The sequence below is a fragment of the Homo sapiens genome, chromosome 17 (genome assembly GCF_000001405.40).
Source record: "Homo sapiens chromosome 17, GRCh38.p14 Primary Assembly".
In the NCBI taxonomy this organism is placed as follows: Eukaryota; Metazoa; Chordata; class Mammalia; order Primates; family Hominidae; genus Homo; species Homo sapiens.
Genome location: NC_000017.11, coordinates 43,546,575 through 43,562,017, shown reverse-complemented (window position 1 = coordinate 43,562,017; position 15,443 = coordinate 43,546,575). Strand labels below are relative to the sequence as shown.

General features: G+C 48.5%; 3 annotated features.

Annotated features, from left to right (window-relative positions):
- Window positions 5,373-5,442: an enhancer, noted in NCBI's record as "active region_12245". NCBI's record gives its function as "activates an Ori minimal core promoter by ATAC-STARR-seq in GM12878 lymphoblastoid cells {active_cell/tissue: GM12878}" and the evidence as "EXISTENCE:reporter gene assay evidence [ECO:0000049][PMID:35858748]".
- Window positions 6,870-7,370: an enhancer, noted in NCBI's record as "H3K4me1 hESC enhancer chr17:41632016-41632516 (GRCh37/hg19 assembly coordinates)". NCBI's record gives its function as "activates a minimal SCP1, AML or CMV promoter by ChIP-STARR-seq in naive H9 embryonic stem cells {active_cell/tissue: H9 hESC(naive)}" and the evidence as "EXISTENCE:reporter gene assay evidence [ECO:0000049][PMID:30033119]".
- Window positions 15,253-15,412: an enhancer, noted in NCBI's record as "active region_12244". NCBI's record gives its function as "activates an Ori minimal core promoter by ATAC-STARR-seq in GM12878 lymphoblastoid cells {active_cell/tissue: GM12878}" and the evidence as "EXISTENCE:reporter gene assay evidence [ECO:0000049][PMID:35858748]".

Below are 15,443 nucleotides of genomic sequence, written 5' to 3'. Positions count from 1 at the left end.
AGCTCTGTGACTTTGGGAAACTTTCTTTTCTTTCTTTTTTTTTTTTTTTTTTTTGAGAAGGAGTTTCGCTCTTGTTGCCCAGGCTGAAGTGCAATGGTGCCATCTCAGCTCACCACAACCTCCGCCTCCCAGGTTCAAGCGATTCTTCTGCCTCAGCCTCCCGAGTAGCTGGGACTATAAGCATGCGCCACCACGCCTGGCGAATTTTGTATTTTTAGTAGAGACAGGGTTTCTCCATGTTGGCCAGGATGGTCTCGAACTCCTGACCTCAGTTTATTCACCCACCTCGGCCTCCCAAAGTGCTGGGATTACAGGCGTGAGCCACTGCGCCCAGACACTTAGAAACTTTCTAACAGAGAAGTTAGAAAGAAACTTCTCTACGCTGTACACATATATGATGTGGAATAAATGAGTAGCACATGCAAAACATTTAGCCTGGCACATGATGAACGATGAAAGATTTGCTGTTGTTCTTGACTGTCGTTGACCCTGTATTCTCATCTCCTAACACAGTGCCTGGCATGTAGCAATTGCTCAATAAATGAATAAAATGGAAATAATTACTAACTACCTCCTCCCTCTACCCCAGCCCCAGGAATATTCCTGTTTGGAACCCTAGTTGAAACCCCAGGTATAACACCTATTTGCAGTTTCCATTACCCTGGTATTTCCACTGGAAGGCAGGGGCCCAAGGGTTCTGTCTAAATTAAGGCCCTATCCTCCTCCTCACCTGACCCCAAAGGTTCGGCCACAGAGGGCATCTTGAATCAACAGCCACTAGGCATAGAGAAGCCAGAGCTTCACCACCAGCAATCCCTTTCTTTCTTAACTTCCTTTCTCTGACTTTAGCTGTCATCTCTGTTATCAGGAACTAGGATTCCTCAACTGAGCCTCTGCCTCCTTGCCCTGCGCCTCTGGACATGGGTGTCTGGGTCAGACCTCAGGTCTCCTGTTTTCAGTCCATTGAATCTACTGATACACTAGACAGAAGTTCACAGGCATTCAAGCTCCAACTGCCATTCTTGGCTGTGTGAGTCAGGCAAGTCACTTAACCTTTCTGAGCCTCCAGGTTTTGGTACAATAATATAGAGGGCTGGGTGAGACTCCATGGTGCAAAGCTGCACAGAGACGATTCTGTTGGGCTCCCTTCCCTGTAGCAGCGGCCTGCCCTGGGAGAGGGAATAGAGCAGGGTCAAAGCTGAATGACTTGAGGTCTCCAGAGTTTGAGATCCTGAGGGGACCAGCGAAGAGGGGTGGGCTACAGAGCCCTGGAGAAGTGAGTGACTTGGAGGCATGAGCAGACACCCTCCTACCATGGGACAAGCAGGGCACTAGGAGTGTGACTCAAAGCTGCCGTGGTTCTCCCTCACATGCAGTTGCTGAAATTGGGTTGGGCAAAAAGAACAACTCACTCCCCCAGCCCTGTCTGAGCAGAGAAAGTAAGCTTTGTAACTCCCAGAGGGGGGCCAGCAGGACCCAAGGTCACAAATGCCCCCTTCCTCTACCCCCAGGAGACCCACATATACCAGTGATCCCTCTGCACGAGGTCATGGTTCTGAAGTCTCCATCCTCAGTAGAGAGCAGCAGAGACCAAGTGAGGGTCTAGCACCTAGAATGATGGAACTTCCAGGACAAGCCAGCACTAAGCAGGGCAGGAACTCAGAGCCTCTGTGGGCTAGAACGGGAACACCTCCAGGAGTGGCTTCCTCTGCCCTCCTGTTGATATGTACCTATCCTGGGTTGCCTTTAGTGCTTAAACCTCAGTTATGAAAAATGTTATTATTATAACAGCACAGTGCCACCTCCCACCCACCTCCCCGACTAAACAGGAAGTGTCTGGCAGGTAGAGGCCTGTTTTGCACCCCTGTGGACAAACCCCTTCCCCCAGCACCCACTCACTCATTCCTTCACTCACAAACATTTATTAAGCACTGATGTAGTTGCCAGGAGGCCTAAGGCTTATCCTTTAGGGATGTCAGCTGCTAAATCTCCAGAACTTTGGCCTCCCAGGTTCCCAAAGGTAAAATTTCCTCCACTCCATCCCAGAAGGGAGGATGGGGTCCAGCTAGGACCTCTAAGGAGAAGCCACCAGCTTCATGCTTGCAAAGGAAAACCACTTCCCCCTTTTTCTTTCCTCAGTTCCAGGGGTGTGATGGCCCCATGGAAAATTCACAGGCAGGTCTTGGAATCTCTACCAGGGAGATAGCCCAGGCTCCACTCAGGGAAAGCCTTGCCACCGAGACCAGGCCTGCATCCAGGAAAACGTGTCCAAGGCCACTGATGTACAAAAGCTTAGGCAACCAGACACTCTGACCTACCAGGGCCTCTCACGCTAGCCTGGAATTACTCTCAGCTTCGTGGCCAGCCGGCAAAGACATCAGGCCTGGGGCCACAGAGCCAAGATTCCAAAGAGAAAATTCCAAGGCAAATATCTCAAGGGTTTCCAAGGACTATCTCCCCACTTCCCAAAACTCCCTTCCACCGCACCCTAGAGTCTTCCCCCTCCCCTAATTTAACCTTGTGCTTCCCAGACTCCTGCCCTTGGTCCTGATATTCCCTAAGCCCGGAATATCCTCCCTCTAGCCCCACACCCAAATCCTACCCACCTCAATGCTAGCTCCAATGCCACCTCCTCCAAGAAGTCTTCTCTGATCCTCTCAGTGAGGAGGGTCTCTATCTCTCCTTTAAATACCAAAGTCCAGGCCTCTTCTGTGGCTGTGGACAGGTATTTGGCTTCTGAAAGCAAACAAGCCTGGGTTCACAGGCTAGCTCTACCCCTTCCCAGCAGGGCAACCTTAGGCAAGTTCCCTTCCTGCTTCCTGCTGGGCTGCCCTTGCCCCTGCCTTGCCCAGAGACACTTGACCACCTCCCTTGGGCTGCCCAACCTTCAACGTGGATTCCTAGTATTTGTGAATTAGGTTCTCTGCCTGCGAACTTTTTCTGTTCAGGGCCAGAGAGTAAATATTTTAGGCTTTTCAAGCCATACTGTGGCTCTTGCAAATATTAAACTGTCCTGTTGTAACACAAAGCAACCTAAAATAGTAAGTAAGCATGGCTGTGTCCTAATAAAACTATCTCTGCACACTAAAATTTGAATTTGTCGGCCAGGAGCAGTGGCTCATTCCTGTGATCCTAGCACTTTGGGAAGCCAAGGCAGGCGGATTGCCTGAACACGAGTTGGAGACCAGCCTGGGTAATGTGGCAAAACCCCATCTCTACTAAAAATACAAAAAATTAGCCAGGCGTGGTGGCATGCACCTGTAGTCCCAGCTTCTCAGGAGACTGAGGCATAAGAATCGCTTGAACCCGGGAGGCAGAGGTTGTAGTGAGCTGAGATCACGCCAATGCACTCCAGCCTGGGTGACAGAGTGAAACTCCAAAAAGAAAAAAAAATGAATTTCTCATATATTCACATGTCAAAAAATATTGTGTTTAAAAAATGTTTTTTCAGTCATTGAAAAAAAGCACTTTGTAGCTTACAGGCCATACATGTCCTTCCATATCTCTCCTGAGAGCACTCCTTGGCTGTGAACTCAGTTCCAGAGGCTGAACAAAGCTACTCCCTCTGATTCAGCTTCAGCAGGGAGTTTGCAAAGCCCTGACTGTTCCAGGGGCAGGCTTGGGTGCCACAGGGAGCACAGAAGTGAGGCACCCAGCCTGCTCTCTAGGAACTTCTAATCCAGTGGGGAGACTCAAGCCAGATCCACAGTGGGGAGACTCAAGCCAGATCCACAGAGGATTTCATAGTAACACAAGGTTGGGGAAGATGAGCATCATGAAAGAGACCTTATCTTTTCCAATGAACAAATACTTTCTTTTTTTTTTTTTTTTTTTTTTTTTTTTGAGACAGAGTCTCGCTCTGTCACCCAGGCTGGAGTGCAGTGGTGCGATCTCGGCTCACTGCAAGCTCCGCCTCCCGGGTTCACTTCATTCTCCTGCCTCAGCCTCCCAAGTAGCTGGGACTACAGGCATCTGCCACCACGCCTGGCTAATTTTTTGTATTTTTTTTTTAGTAGAGACAGGGTTTCACTGTGTTAGCCAGGATGGTCTCTATCTCCTGACCTAGTGATCCTCCTGCCTTGGCCTCCCAAAGTGCTGGGATTACAGGCATGAGCCACCATGCCCGACCAACAAATACTTTCTTCACAACTTACATTGACAAAGCTGAAGGAGAGCGCTGGTTCCCTGGGAGAAGAAATGCACCAGGAGAGACTTCATGGAGGAAATGGCATTAGACATGGGCTTAAAAGAACAGGAATTCCGGCCGGGCGCAGTGGCTCATGCCTGTAATCCCAACACTTTGGGAGGCCAAGGTGGGTATATCATGAGGTCAAGAGCTAGAGACCATCCTGGCCAACACGGTGAAACCCCGTCTCTACTAAAAATACAAAAATTAGCCGGGTGTGGTGGCGGGCGCCTGTAGTCCCAGCTACTCGGGAGGCTGAGGCAGGAGAATCACTTGAACCCAGGAGGCAGAGGTTGCAGTGAGCCGAGATTGCGCCACTGCACTCCTGCCCGGCAATAGAGTGAGACTTCACCTCAAAAAAAAAAAAAAGAAAAAAAGAATAGGAATTCCAGGACCGAAGCCGTCACCCTTCACTGTTTCCTCCTGAAAGGCAGCCCCTGACTTTTGCACAAAAACATTGAAGACTTATAGCCCCACACACCTATAATGCCATCACGAGATGGCGGGCTCCTTGGGCAGGGGCAAGGGCCTTCCTCATTTCTGAGCCTCTGGACATTTTTCTGAGCCTAGCACATGTTTTTTTGCAGAGTGTATTTCTGTAAATGCTTGTTGAGACTGTATTGAAGTTGGAGTTAGGGGAGATGATGACAAAGAAGATTCCTGATAGAAATTGGACCAAATGAGGTCGGGCGTGGTGGCTCACGCCTGTAATCCCAGCACTTTGGAAGGCCGAGGCAGGCGGATCACTTGAGGTCAGAAGTTCGAGACCAGCCTGGCCAACATGGTGAAATCCCTTCTCTACTAAAAATACCAAAATTAACTAGGCCTGGTGGTGTGTGCCTGTAATCCCAGCTACTTGGGAGGTTGAGGCAGGAGAATCACTTGAACCCAGGAGGCAGAGGTTGTAATGAGCTGAGATCCCGCCACTGAACTCCAGCCTGGGCAACAGAGTGAGTTTCTGTCTCAAAAAAAAAAAAAAAAATCAATTGGACCAAATGGATTAGGTCATTCCCTCCATTTTATCCAGCTCCTCAGGCCCTGAAAGACATTTCCCAAGGAACAAGCCAACTGTCTTGGGCACAACCTTAGACCACCTTAAAGGGGACTCCTCATTCTCACTTCTTACCACAACCTTCTGACTTCTTAAAAATAAGATGTGAAACAGTGATTACTATAACCTGCACGCGTGTGTGTGTGCATGCACACAGACACACACTCACCCTTCCCTCTTCTGACAGCCTCCTTCTGCCTCTTTAAGTGGAAGCTCCACTTCTCTGCCCAGGAAGGTGGGGCCTTTTCTCCCAATAGCCACTGCAGACTGGGCCCCGAGGAACTCAAAGCCACCTCCCCACAGAACCCAAATGAGTGCAGCCAGCACCACCTCGTAAATCAGAAAGGTCATTGCCTCTAACCTGGCACGCCCCAAACCATGACTAAGCAGTTGTTGATACTTCCCCAAGACAACATCATGCAGGAGAAGTTTTGTAACCAAAGGGGAAGGAATTAATTAATGTATGTATGTGAGGTATGAATTGGTTTGGATATACATGTATGGATCGTCTCACCAAGGATACACCAGAAACTGAACATAATGGCTGCCTCCAGGAAGGCAAACTGAGCTGCTAGAGGACAGAGAGAGGAGAGATTTAAAAATTTCACTGGCGAGTACTACATTAGTTTTGAATTTTGTGCCATGTGGGTTTTTTTTTTTTTTTTTTTTTTTTTTTTTGAGACGGAGTCACTCTGTTGCCCAGGCTGGAGTGCAGTGGTGTGATCTCAGCTCACTGCAAGCTCCTCCTCCTGGTTCGTGCCATTCTCTTACCTCAGCCTCCCGAGTAGCTGGGACTACAGGCGCGCGCCACCATGCCCAGCTAATTTTTTTGTATTTTTGGTAGAGACGGGGTTTCACCGTGTTAGCCAGGATGGTCTCAATCTCCTGACCTCGTGATCCGCCCGCCTCGACCTCCCAAAGTGCTGGGATTACAGGCGTGAGCCACCGCGCCTGGCCGCTATGTGGATATCTTATCTATTCAAATAAATAAATGTTTTACAACATGCACAATGTTGTCTTAAGCAAATGCACAATGTTGTTTTAAGCAAATGCAACCTAAAATGTGGATTCAATAGCTTGTTTTCAACTCTGCAGGCACAGCTGGGACAATAAAAGCAGAGATCTGGTTACTACCTTGTAGAAGGACAGAGGGGAAAACAGAGAACCAAATGCCATTTAAAATCTCACCAGGCCGGGCGTGGTGGCTCACACCTGTAATTCCAGCACTTTGGGAAGCTGAGGCGGGTGGATCACCTGAGGTCAGGAGTTCAAGACCAGTCTGACCAACATGGTGAAACCCTGACTCTACTAAAAATACAAAAATTAGCCCAGTGTAGTGGCTCATGCCTGTAATCCCAGCTACTCGGGAGGCTGAGGAAGGAGAATCACTTGAACCTGGGAGGTGGAGGTTGCAGTGAGCCGAGATTGCACCACTGCACTCCAGCCTGGGCCACAAGAGTGAAACTCCATCTCAAAAATAAATACATAAAATATAATAAAATCTCACCAAATGATCATGCCAAACAAGGATCCTGCCTGGGAAAAGACGGGAGTCAGAGAAGCCAGAGGGAGAGAATTGACAGAAAATAAACAGTACCCCCTGGGGAGGTGAGGAAGGGGAGCTCCAGAGGCCCATCCCCCCTCCCAGCATGAGTTTGCATGGGGAGGGGGAAGACATTAAAAGAGAGAGGAGTCGGAGCCTGGTGACTCCCACCCTGTGATGCACAGAAGTTGAAGCCAGAGAGAGAAGGTGGTGCGCAGGAAAACAAGCCGCAGTGCCTGGCTCCACCTCAGCCACTCACGCATCCCCGGCACTTCCCCAATCTGAGACTCAGTTTCTTTGTCTCTACAATGAAGGATTTGGCCCAGACAGATCTCCAAGGTGCCTCACAGCTCTAATATTCTCTGATTTGATGGCTGCAGCCTTCTGCAAATGTGCATAAAATAGATTAGTTTTAGTAGTAGTAAAAACAAAACTGAATATCAGATTTATCATTTTAATTAAATATACTTTACATTCTCAATTTCTAGGGAGCAAAATGCTCCCCCCTCCATCAGTTTTCCCTTTGTGGAAGACATTCATGTGTGACATGCAATTTAAGAAAATGCCAAACCACATTGTAAGATACACAATTAACAAGATCCTAACAGGCATTTCTTAACAGGAAAGTGGGGTTTGGTGGGGTGGGGGAAGAACATAAAAAGGAAATGTCAAGAAGGGGAGGGTCAGGTGGGATCAGGATCCCAGAGAACTGGGGATCAGGCTAGAAAGAACAACGTGCTATTGTCTTTACTCAGCCCTCAGAAGTCACTATCTCTGGAACTCCGTGGAGCTGGGGAGTCTGAAGCGGGTGGTTTGGTTGGTTCCCTCTCCCTGGGTGACATAAAGCAAATTACTCTCTGGACTTTAGAGTGCTCAACTATAAAATGGAACTAAATATACCTACTTTGAGGAATGCTGGGAAAATGTAATAAGATATCTTAAAAGGCTTAGTAAAACAATAAAGTGTAAAGCGCATATACAAACACTGTACTTTTTTTTTTTTTTTTTGAGACGGAGTTTTGCTCTTGTTGCCCAGGCTGGAGTGCAATGATGTGATCTCGGCTCACTGCAACCTCTGCCTCCTGGGTTCAAGCAATTCTCTTGCCTCAGCCTCCCAAGTAGCTGGGATTATAGGTATGCACCACTACGCCTGGCTAATTTTGTATTTTTAGTAGAGGCAGGGTTTTGCCATACTCAAATGATCCATCTGCCTCTGCCTCCCAAAGTGCTGAGATTACAGGCGTGAGCCACTGCGCCCGGCCCAAACACTGTATTTTGGAAACTCAAGTTGGGGTCCAGAATGCCTGGTCCCCCTCTGGTTAGGTATTATGTCCTCTCAGCATGTGTTCCCCTAACATCCTTTCTTTCTGCCATCCTCTTCTCCACCCAGGCATATGGTCCCCACAAAGCAAGAGGAAAGCAACGCCCCTACCCAGAAGGAGCATCATTTCCTGGGCTCTGTGCTCTGTGGCTCCAGATCATTAATTAACAACTGTGGTTGTAAATTACCAGATAAATCTGGGCTGGGGTCGCCAGTAGGATAGATGAGAATCAACAAGAAAAATAAATCTACAGCAGCAGCTCCCTGAGTTTCAGGAAAACCCTACAGCCTGGGGGCAGTCAGGGACTAGTGAGAGAGAAGAGTTTGTGTTTTGGATAAAAACAAAAACAAGGCTGGGCACGCTGGCTCAGGGCTTGATTGCCTGAGCTCGGGAGTTCGAGACCAGCCTGGGCAACATGGCAAAACCTTGACTCTACAAAAAATACAAAAATTACGGCCGGGCACAGTGGCTCATGTCTGTAATCCCAGCACTTTGGGAGGCCGAGGTGGGCAGATTGCCTGAGGTCAGGAGTTCAAGACCAGTCTGGCCAACATGGTGAAACCCCATCTCTACTAAAAATACAAAAAACTTAGCCGGGCGTGGTGGCGTGCCCCTGTAATCCCAGCTACTCGGGAGGCTGAGGCAGGGGAATCGCTTGAACCAGGGAGGTGGAGGTTGCAGTTAGCAGAGATCGTGCCACTGTACTCCAGCTTAGGCAACAGAGCGAGACTCCGTCTCAGAAAAACAAAAACAAAAACAAAAAATACAAAAATTAGCTGGGAGTGGTGGCACCTGCCTACTGAGATTGCACCACTGCACTGCAGCCTGAGTGACAGAGCGAGACCCTGTCTCTTAGAAAAAAAAAAAAAAAAAATCAAGGCCAGTGTGCTAGCTCACACCTGTAATTCCAACACTTTGGAAAGCCAAGGCAGGAGGATCCCTTGAGGCCAGGAGTTCAAGACCAACCTGGGCAACAGAGCAAGACCCTGACTCTATAAAAATAAAAATAATAATTAAATATAATTTTTTTAAAATCTCAGAAATAAAACCAGGAATTCTCCCCCCAACCCATTACCACCATTCTCCCAAAAAGATTCAGGTAAGAGTCAAGTCCCCAGGCTTCTGCCAGTGCTGACAGAACTGTCTCTGTCCCTGCCTTATCAAGCTGGGGCGTCCACTCGGTTGCCCATTATTCCTGACAACAAGAGCAAATACAGACACTCTCAGAGGGCTGAGGAGAGGCTAAGTGGAATAAACCGTGTTTAATCTTTAACGAGAGAAATTGCCTTCCCTTAGCAGAGCCCCACCCAGCAGGCTCTGTGGCCCCTCATAATTCAAGTCCGTACTTAATTAAAAAGGGGAGCATCCTGGACTTTCCCCAACTGGCACCAATTCCATTCTCATCCTTCAGCCTGCTGACATTTGTCCGTTTGTCTCTCTTCAACAGAAAGAGAAAAAAATCAAAAGGAAAAGAAAATGTTATATCCTGCAGCTTTCTGAGAGGGCCCGTCCTTGAGCTGGGGCGCTTCATCTAGAAGCAGAGAGGGTTGAAATCTAACAGGAGGAGACAGAACAGGACAAGGAATGCTTTGCATTTGGGAGAGAGCCCTGAGCTACTGCAAATAGCAAGTATGAAAAGCTAGTCACCAGCACCTTCTAAAAATAAAACTTGCTCTCCTTGGGGCATCCTTGATTGCTAGCCTTCCAGCACTGGGCTCCAACATTTCCTCCTGGGACAATATTCCAGAAGAAAGGACGATGCATTTATTTAGCCTTGTTTAAAAATATTAAGATGTGGCCGGGAGCGGTGGCTCACGCCTGTAATCCCAACACTTTGGGAAGCTGAGTCGGGTGGATCACGAGGTCAGGAGATCGAGACCATCCTGGCTAACAAGGTGAAACCCCATCTCTACTAAAAATATAAAAAATTAGCCGGGAGTGGTGGCAGGCGCCTGTAGTCCCAGCTACTCGGGAGGCTGAGGCAGGAGAATGGCGTGAACCCGGGAGGCGGAGCTTGCAGTGAGCCGAGATCACGCCACTGCACTCCAGCCTGGGCGACAGAGTGAGACTGTCTCAAAAAAAAAGAAAGAAAGAAAGAAAAAAAATTAAGATGTTTCTCACTGGGATCCTGACAAGTTCAATTTACAGCTCCTCAGAAGGTAACACTCCTTCCCCAATAAATAATTCTAAAACAATCCCTTGTAGATTTGGCTCCACAGAGGTCATTGTGTTCATTCTTTTACTCCTGGGAATGTCACACTGTCACACACAAGTGGGGGTGAGGAGGGAACCAGAATCTCCCACCTGAAACTTTTTTTTTTTTTTTTTTTGGAGATAAAGTCTCGCTCTGTCGCCCAGGCTGGAGTGCAGTGGCGCGATCTCGGCTCACTGCAAGCTCCGCCTCCCGGGTTCACGCCATTTTGCTGCCTCAGCCTCCCGAGTAGCTGGGACTACAGGTGCCTGCCACCACGCCCGGCTAATATTTTGTATTTTAGTAGAGATGGGGTTTCACCGTGTTAGCCAGGATGGTCTCGATCTCCTGACCTCGTGATCCACCCGCCTCGGCCTCCCAAAGTGCTGGGATTACAGGCGTGAGCCACTGCGTCCAGCCATTTTTAGTTTTTTTATTTTTAGTAGAGACGGGGTTTCACCATGGTCTCGATCTCCTGACATCGTGATCCGCCCGCCTTGGCCTCCCAAAGTGCTGCGATTACAGGCGTGAGCCACCGTGCCCGGCCTCCCACCTCAAACTCTTAACTGCATCTCGGTCTGCTCTGTCTGCCAGAAGAAATCCTTCATGAGTCAGGCTGGGACAATCTGATCTTCTGTTTCTCCCAAGATTCTTGAGGACGTCCAATGCCTGCACCACCCAAGGGAAAAAGAGTCCTCATCTTTAGAACTTTTATATGGAGACTGCTCTCCTCCTCCACAGGGTGCCCCTAGGAATTGAGCAAGACATCAGCTTTATCTGTGCGCTTCCTCTTTAGCCCAATATACTCCCAGCTAGCAGGCTGAAGGAGAGCCCCATTTCTTTGGAGTCTCAAGAGAGATCTCAGGCTGAGTAAAAGATGGAGAGGAACAAGGGAAGTAGTTGTTTTACCTCCCTCCCCAGCACGTTCTCCAAAAGTGGTGCCTTTCCAACCATGTTGAAGGTGATATATATTGACAAGATATTTGTAAAGACATCTATGATTAAAAAATAAAAACCAGGCTGGGTATGATGGGTCATGCCTATAATAACCCCAGCACTTTGGAAGGCCAAGGCTGGAAAATCATTTGAGCCTAGGAGTTTGAGACAATCCTGGGCAACATAGTGGGACCCCATCTCTACAAAAAATTTAAAAATTAGCCAGTCGTGGTGGCGAGCACCTGTAGGCCTAGCTATTCAGGAGGCTGAGGAGGGAGAATCGCTTGAGCCCAAGAGGTCGAGGCTGCAGCAAATGAGACATGATCGTTCCACTGCACTCCAGCCTGGGTGACATAGTGACAACTTGTCCCTGCACCTCCTCCACAAAAAAAAAATCTGCTTAGTTCTATAACATTAAAATAATAAATACATAAGAAAAAGAAAAATGTGCACCAGGCATCTTGGTGCAGGCAGTTAATTTCAGGGGTACATATCCACGTACCCATCATCCAGAAGCCCTGTAATTTAGAGGAAGCAATGTGAAAAGGGGACAATGACACAAGACAAAAGGAAGTCAAAGAGTGGCATGTTTTGGTCATCCTGACCCACCAGCCCATGGGGAGGACCGCAGGCTCCCCATCTTTCATCCCCACCACCTGACCCCTCTGTCTGGTTCATTCCTCTAGTGTCTCCAGTCTGGGAGACACTAAAGGGACATAGGACATTACTTGACCCTATTTATCTCATCCATCTGACCTTGCAGAGCTGTCTCCCAAGGTTACCCCACTGGATTCCACCCTTTAAGGCTCTGGAACTCAGCTCTTCCAGACCATGAGGAAGCTAGGCCTTGAGGATACTTCCATCCTTCTCTCACAGTCACATGGCATAGGTCACCCACAGGATGTCCCCAGCTAACCCAACCCAGAGAACCAAATCCAGCCCTATGCCGCTCATTCTTTGAAACCTGCCCTGGGGAAAGCCTGCTTCTCTGATGGCTCCTGAGCCACCTTGATGTCTGATCCAGATGAATCTATAGCTTCCTCTCCCTACTCATCACAGTGCTCTGATATTCCAGTCTCCTGAGCAAGCCACAGCCTGCCTTTATATGAACATTTGCATATCAAAGCCTCACATTTACATTTTATAACTTAGGCTCCTGGGAAACAGGTCAGAGCTCAGCCCCCAATCTACTAGCGTAGCCGGGAAAGAAGCATTTACCTGTGCAACCCCCACCAAAGATGTGCTGGAGGGTGTCAGGGAGTACGCTGCATGTGTCCACGAAGCTGTGTGTCCAGGAGGGGACTGTGAGCGTCCTGCATCCAAGAGTGTTCCTGTGTATCTCTGGCTCAGGTGTGGCCTCCATCTGGCCTGTTGTGTCTGCATGCCTGTGAGTCTGTGAGTTCAAAGTGTCTGCATGCCTGTGAGTCCATTTGGGGTGGTCCTCAGTCTGTTGTGGGGGGCCTTGGGGTAGATGTGTGTTTGTGAGGGCTCTGTTTCCTCATTTGTAAAATGGTAATGAAAATCCTAATACTTACCTCACAGGATCGTTATGAGGTTGCCTGAGTTAATGCAGGTCATGCACTTACAGCAGGGCATGGCTGTACATGTCGGTTATTGTGACTCGATTCCCAACAGAAATTCCAGCCCCTCTATACCCTCCCCACCAACTACTTCCAGTGGTGTAAGAGGCTAATGTTCCCCTTGGAAATATCACTGTTTTGAGCCTGGACATTCAATCAGAGGTCAGTGACAGCAGCAGTATCTTCTCTTAGCCTGAGGGAGGAAGGCCACTCAGCCTCTGCCAGGGCTGGAGAGGATTGGGAATGTGGAGGGGGCACTTACTCACCAGGGAGCCAGGGGCCCTCCAGAAGAATATAAGAACTCAGAACCTGCAGCCTGGGCAACATAGTGAGACCCTGTCTCTACAAAAACAAACAAACAAATGAACAAACACATTAGCCAGGCATGATAGTGCATGCCTGTAGTCCCAGCTGCTTGGGAGGCTGAGGTGGGAGGATAGCTTGAAGCCAGGAGTTTGAGGTTATAGTAAGCTATGATGGCACCACTGTACTCCAACCTGGGTGACAGAGGGAGACCCTCCTGTCTCTCAAAAAAAAAAAAAAAAAAAAAAAGGCTGGGCTTGGTGGCTCATGCCTGTAATCCCAGCACTTTAGGAAGCCAAGTGGATCACCTGAGGTCAGGAGTTTGAGACCAGCCTGACCAACATGGTGAAACTCCGTCTGTATTAAAAATACAAAAAATTAGCCAGGTATGGTGGCGGGCACCTGTAATCCCAGCTGCTCGGGAGGCTGAGGCAGGAGAATCGCTTGAACCCGGGAGGCGGAGGTTGCAGTGAGCCGAGATTGCACCTTTGCACTCCAGTGTGGGCAACAAGAGTGAAACTCTGTCTCAAAAACAAAAACAAAAAAACTCAGAACCAGAGGGGCACTGGCATCCCTAGAGAGGTCCCATCCTACTGAAGTGCCCAGTACCAACTTAAAGACCTACTGGACTCTTCTTCGTTGTCATGGAGACCACATCAAAGCTGCCTTCCAGGAAGAGCCCTCTGTCCTCCTCTCCACTTCTCTTGGCCAGAACTCACACTTGTCTCTAAACTGGTTCCATCCAGCCCAAAGCTGGGATTTGCTTGGGCTTGTTTCTCCTTCCTTGGGCAGGGTTCCTGCTAAGCTCAATTAATTTGGTCTTTATTGTACCTATTCACTACACAAGCATTTCATGCCACCCTCATAAGCATGCTAACAGGCTGAGGAGGACTTTCAGAGGCAAATGAGCTCTGGAGAGCTCTCCATAGATAAGGATGTCTATACCATGAGGCAGGATGAAAAACATCCACACCAGAGATATAGTCAAGAATGTTGTATATGGCTAAAGGAACTGATTCAGGCTATCATGGAAGGCTTCCTGGAGGAGAGGGACAATAGACATGAGCCTTATAGAATATTACAGCACCTATAGAAAGGGAAGTTTACTTCCATTTGCACAAGCAGATCTCATGGAATGAGCCCTTATGAACACTAAACAGCAATTGTATGTTTTAGCCTTAGTTCTGGCCAGACAGGCCCAAAGAGCTTACATGTGTCATTTCCTTCTCTGAAACTCCACTGCCTCATCTGTAAAGTGGCGGGTGTTAGGTTAGATGAATTTGGGAAGCCACTCCTGCTGGCCTGGCATTTGAACATTCTTTTGTGTTTATCACAAACAGGCAGGATAAAAAATCAGGCTGTCCTCAAAGGAGTGCATAGGCTGGAGACATAGAGAATTGTCTCAGCAAAAAGGCCTTTGAGGATTCATGTCCTTTGTGCCCCCATGGCCACAGCCCAAGCACCCCAGGTCCCCTCAGATGTCTGTCTTGGACATAGCTGCTTGCCTGGAACCCAGCACTGTATCTGACACGATAAATGTTTATTGAAAGAAGTGGTGAATGGATGAGATGACAGAGACTATGACCAGCTTCTTAGCTAAAACTGAAACCCATCCTGCCTCCAGATCATCAGAACCTTTGGGGCTTTTGCTCCTTTTGCTGGCTCTCAGATAAGAGGGAAGATGGCTGAGAGGGAGCTACACTTTCGGAAATCATCTACCCTGGGGCTTCTGGTTTCTGCTGCAATCAGTAGAAAGTGGGTCACAAAACAGCTCTGCAGAGAACAGACCCTTGAGGAAAAGCCTGGATTCTGTGCCAGTTTACATTTATTGATCACCTACTGTGTATCAGTTGTCACATAGCTTAACTCATTTAATCATGGCTTCAGAGGGGTGTACAGGAGAGTGTGAGGGATTTGAGGCTGTAAACCCCAGAGGTGCTGACTAGCTGAGTGACCTCAGGAGAGTTACCATCCCTCTCTGAGTTTCATTTTTAATATCTGTAAGATACAAACGATCCATTTCGCCGGGTTATGGGAACGAAATGAGCACGTGGAAGCGGAGCGCTTCATAAATGCTAGTTATTATTGTTCCTCTGGGCACACAAGCCCGGTCGCCTCCCTCCTGGGCGCACACAGACATGTTCATACTCCCACGTACACGCAGATGCAGAGACGTGTGCAGACGCCAGCCGGAGGAGCACGCGGCGCATCAGACCCAAGACCGTGGCGAGACGGTGAAGAAGCCGCGGGGTCCTCGGCTTCTCTCTTTTTCTCTCGGTTCTTTATGAATGAACTCCAGCCGCGAGTTTTATTTTTTTATGAATGGGAGCC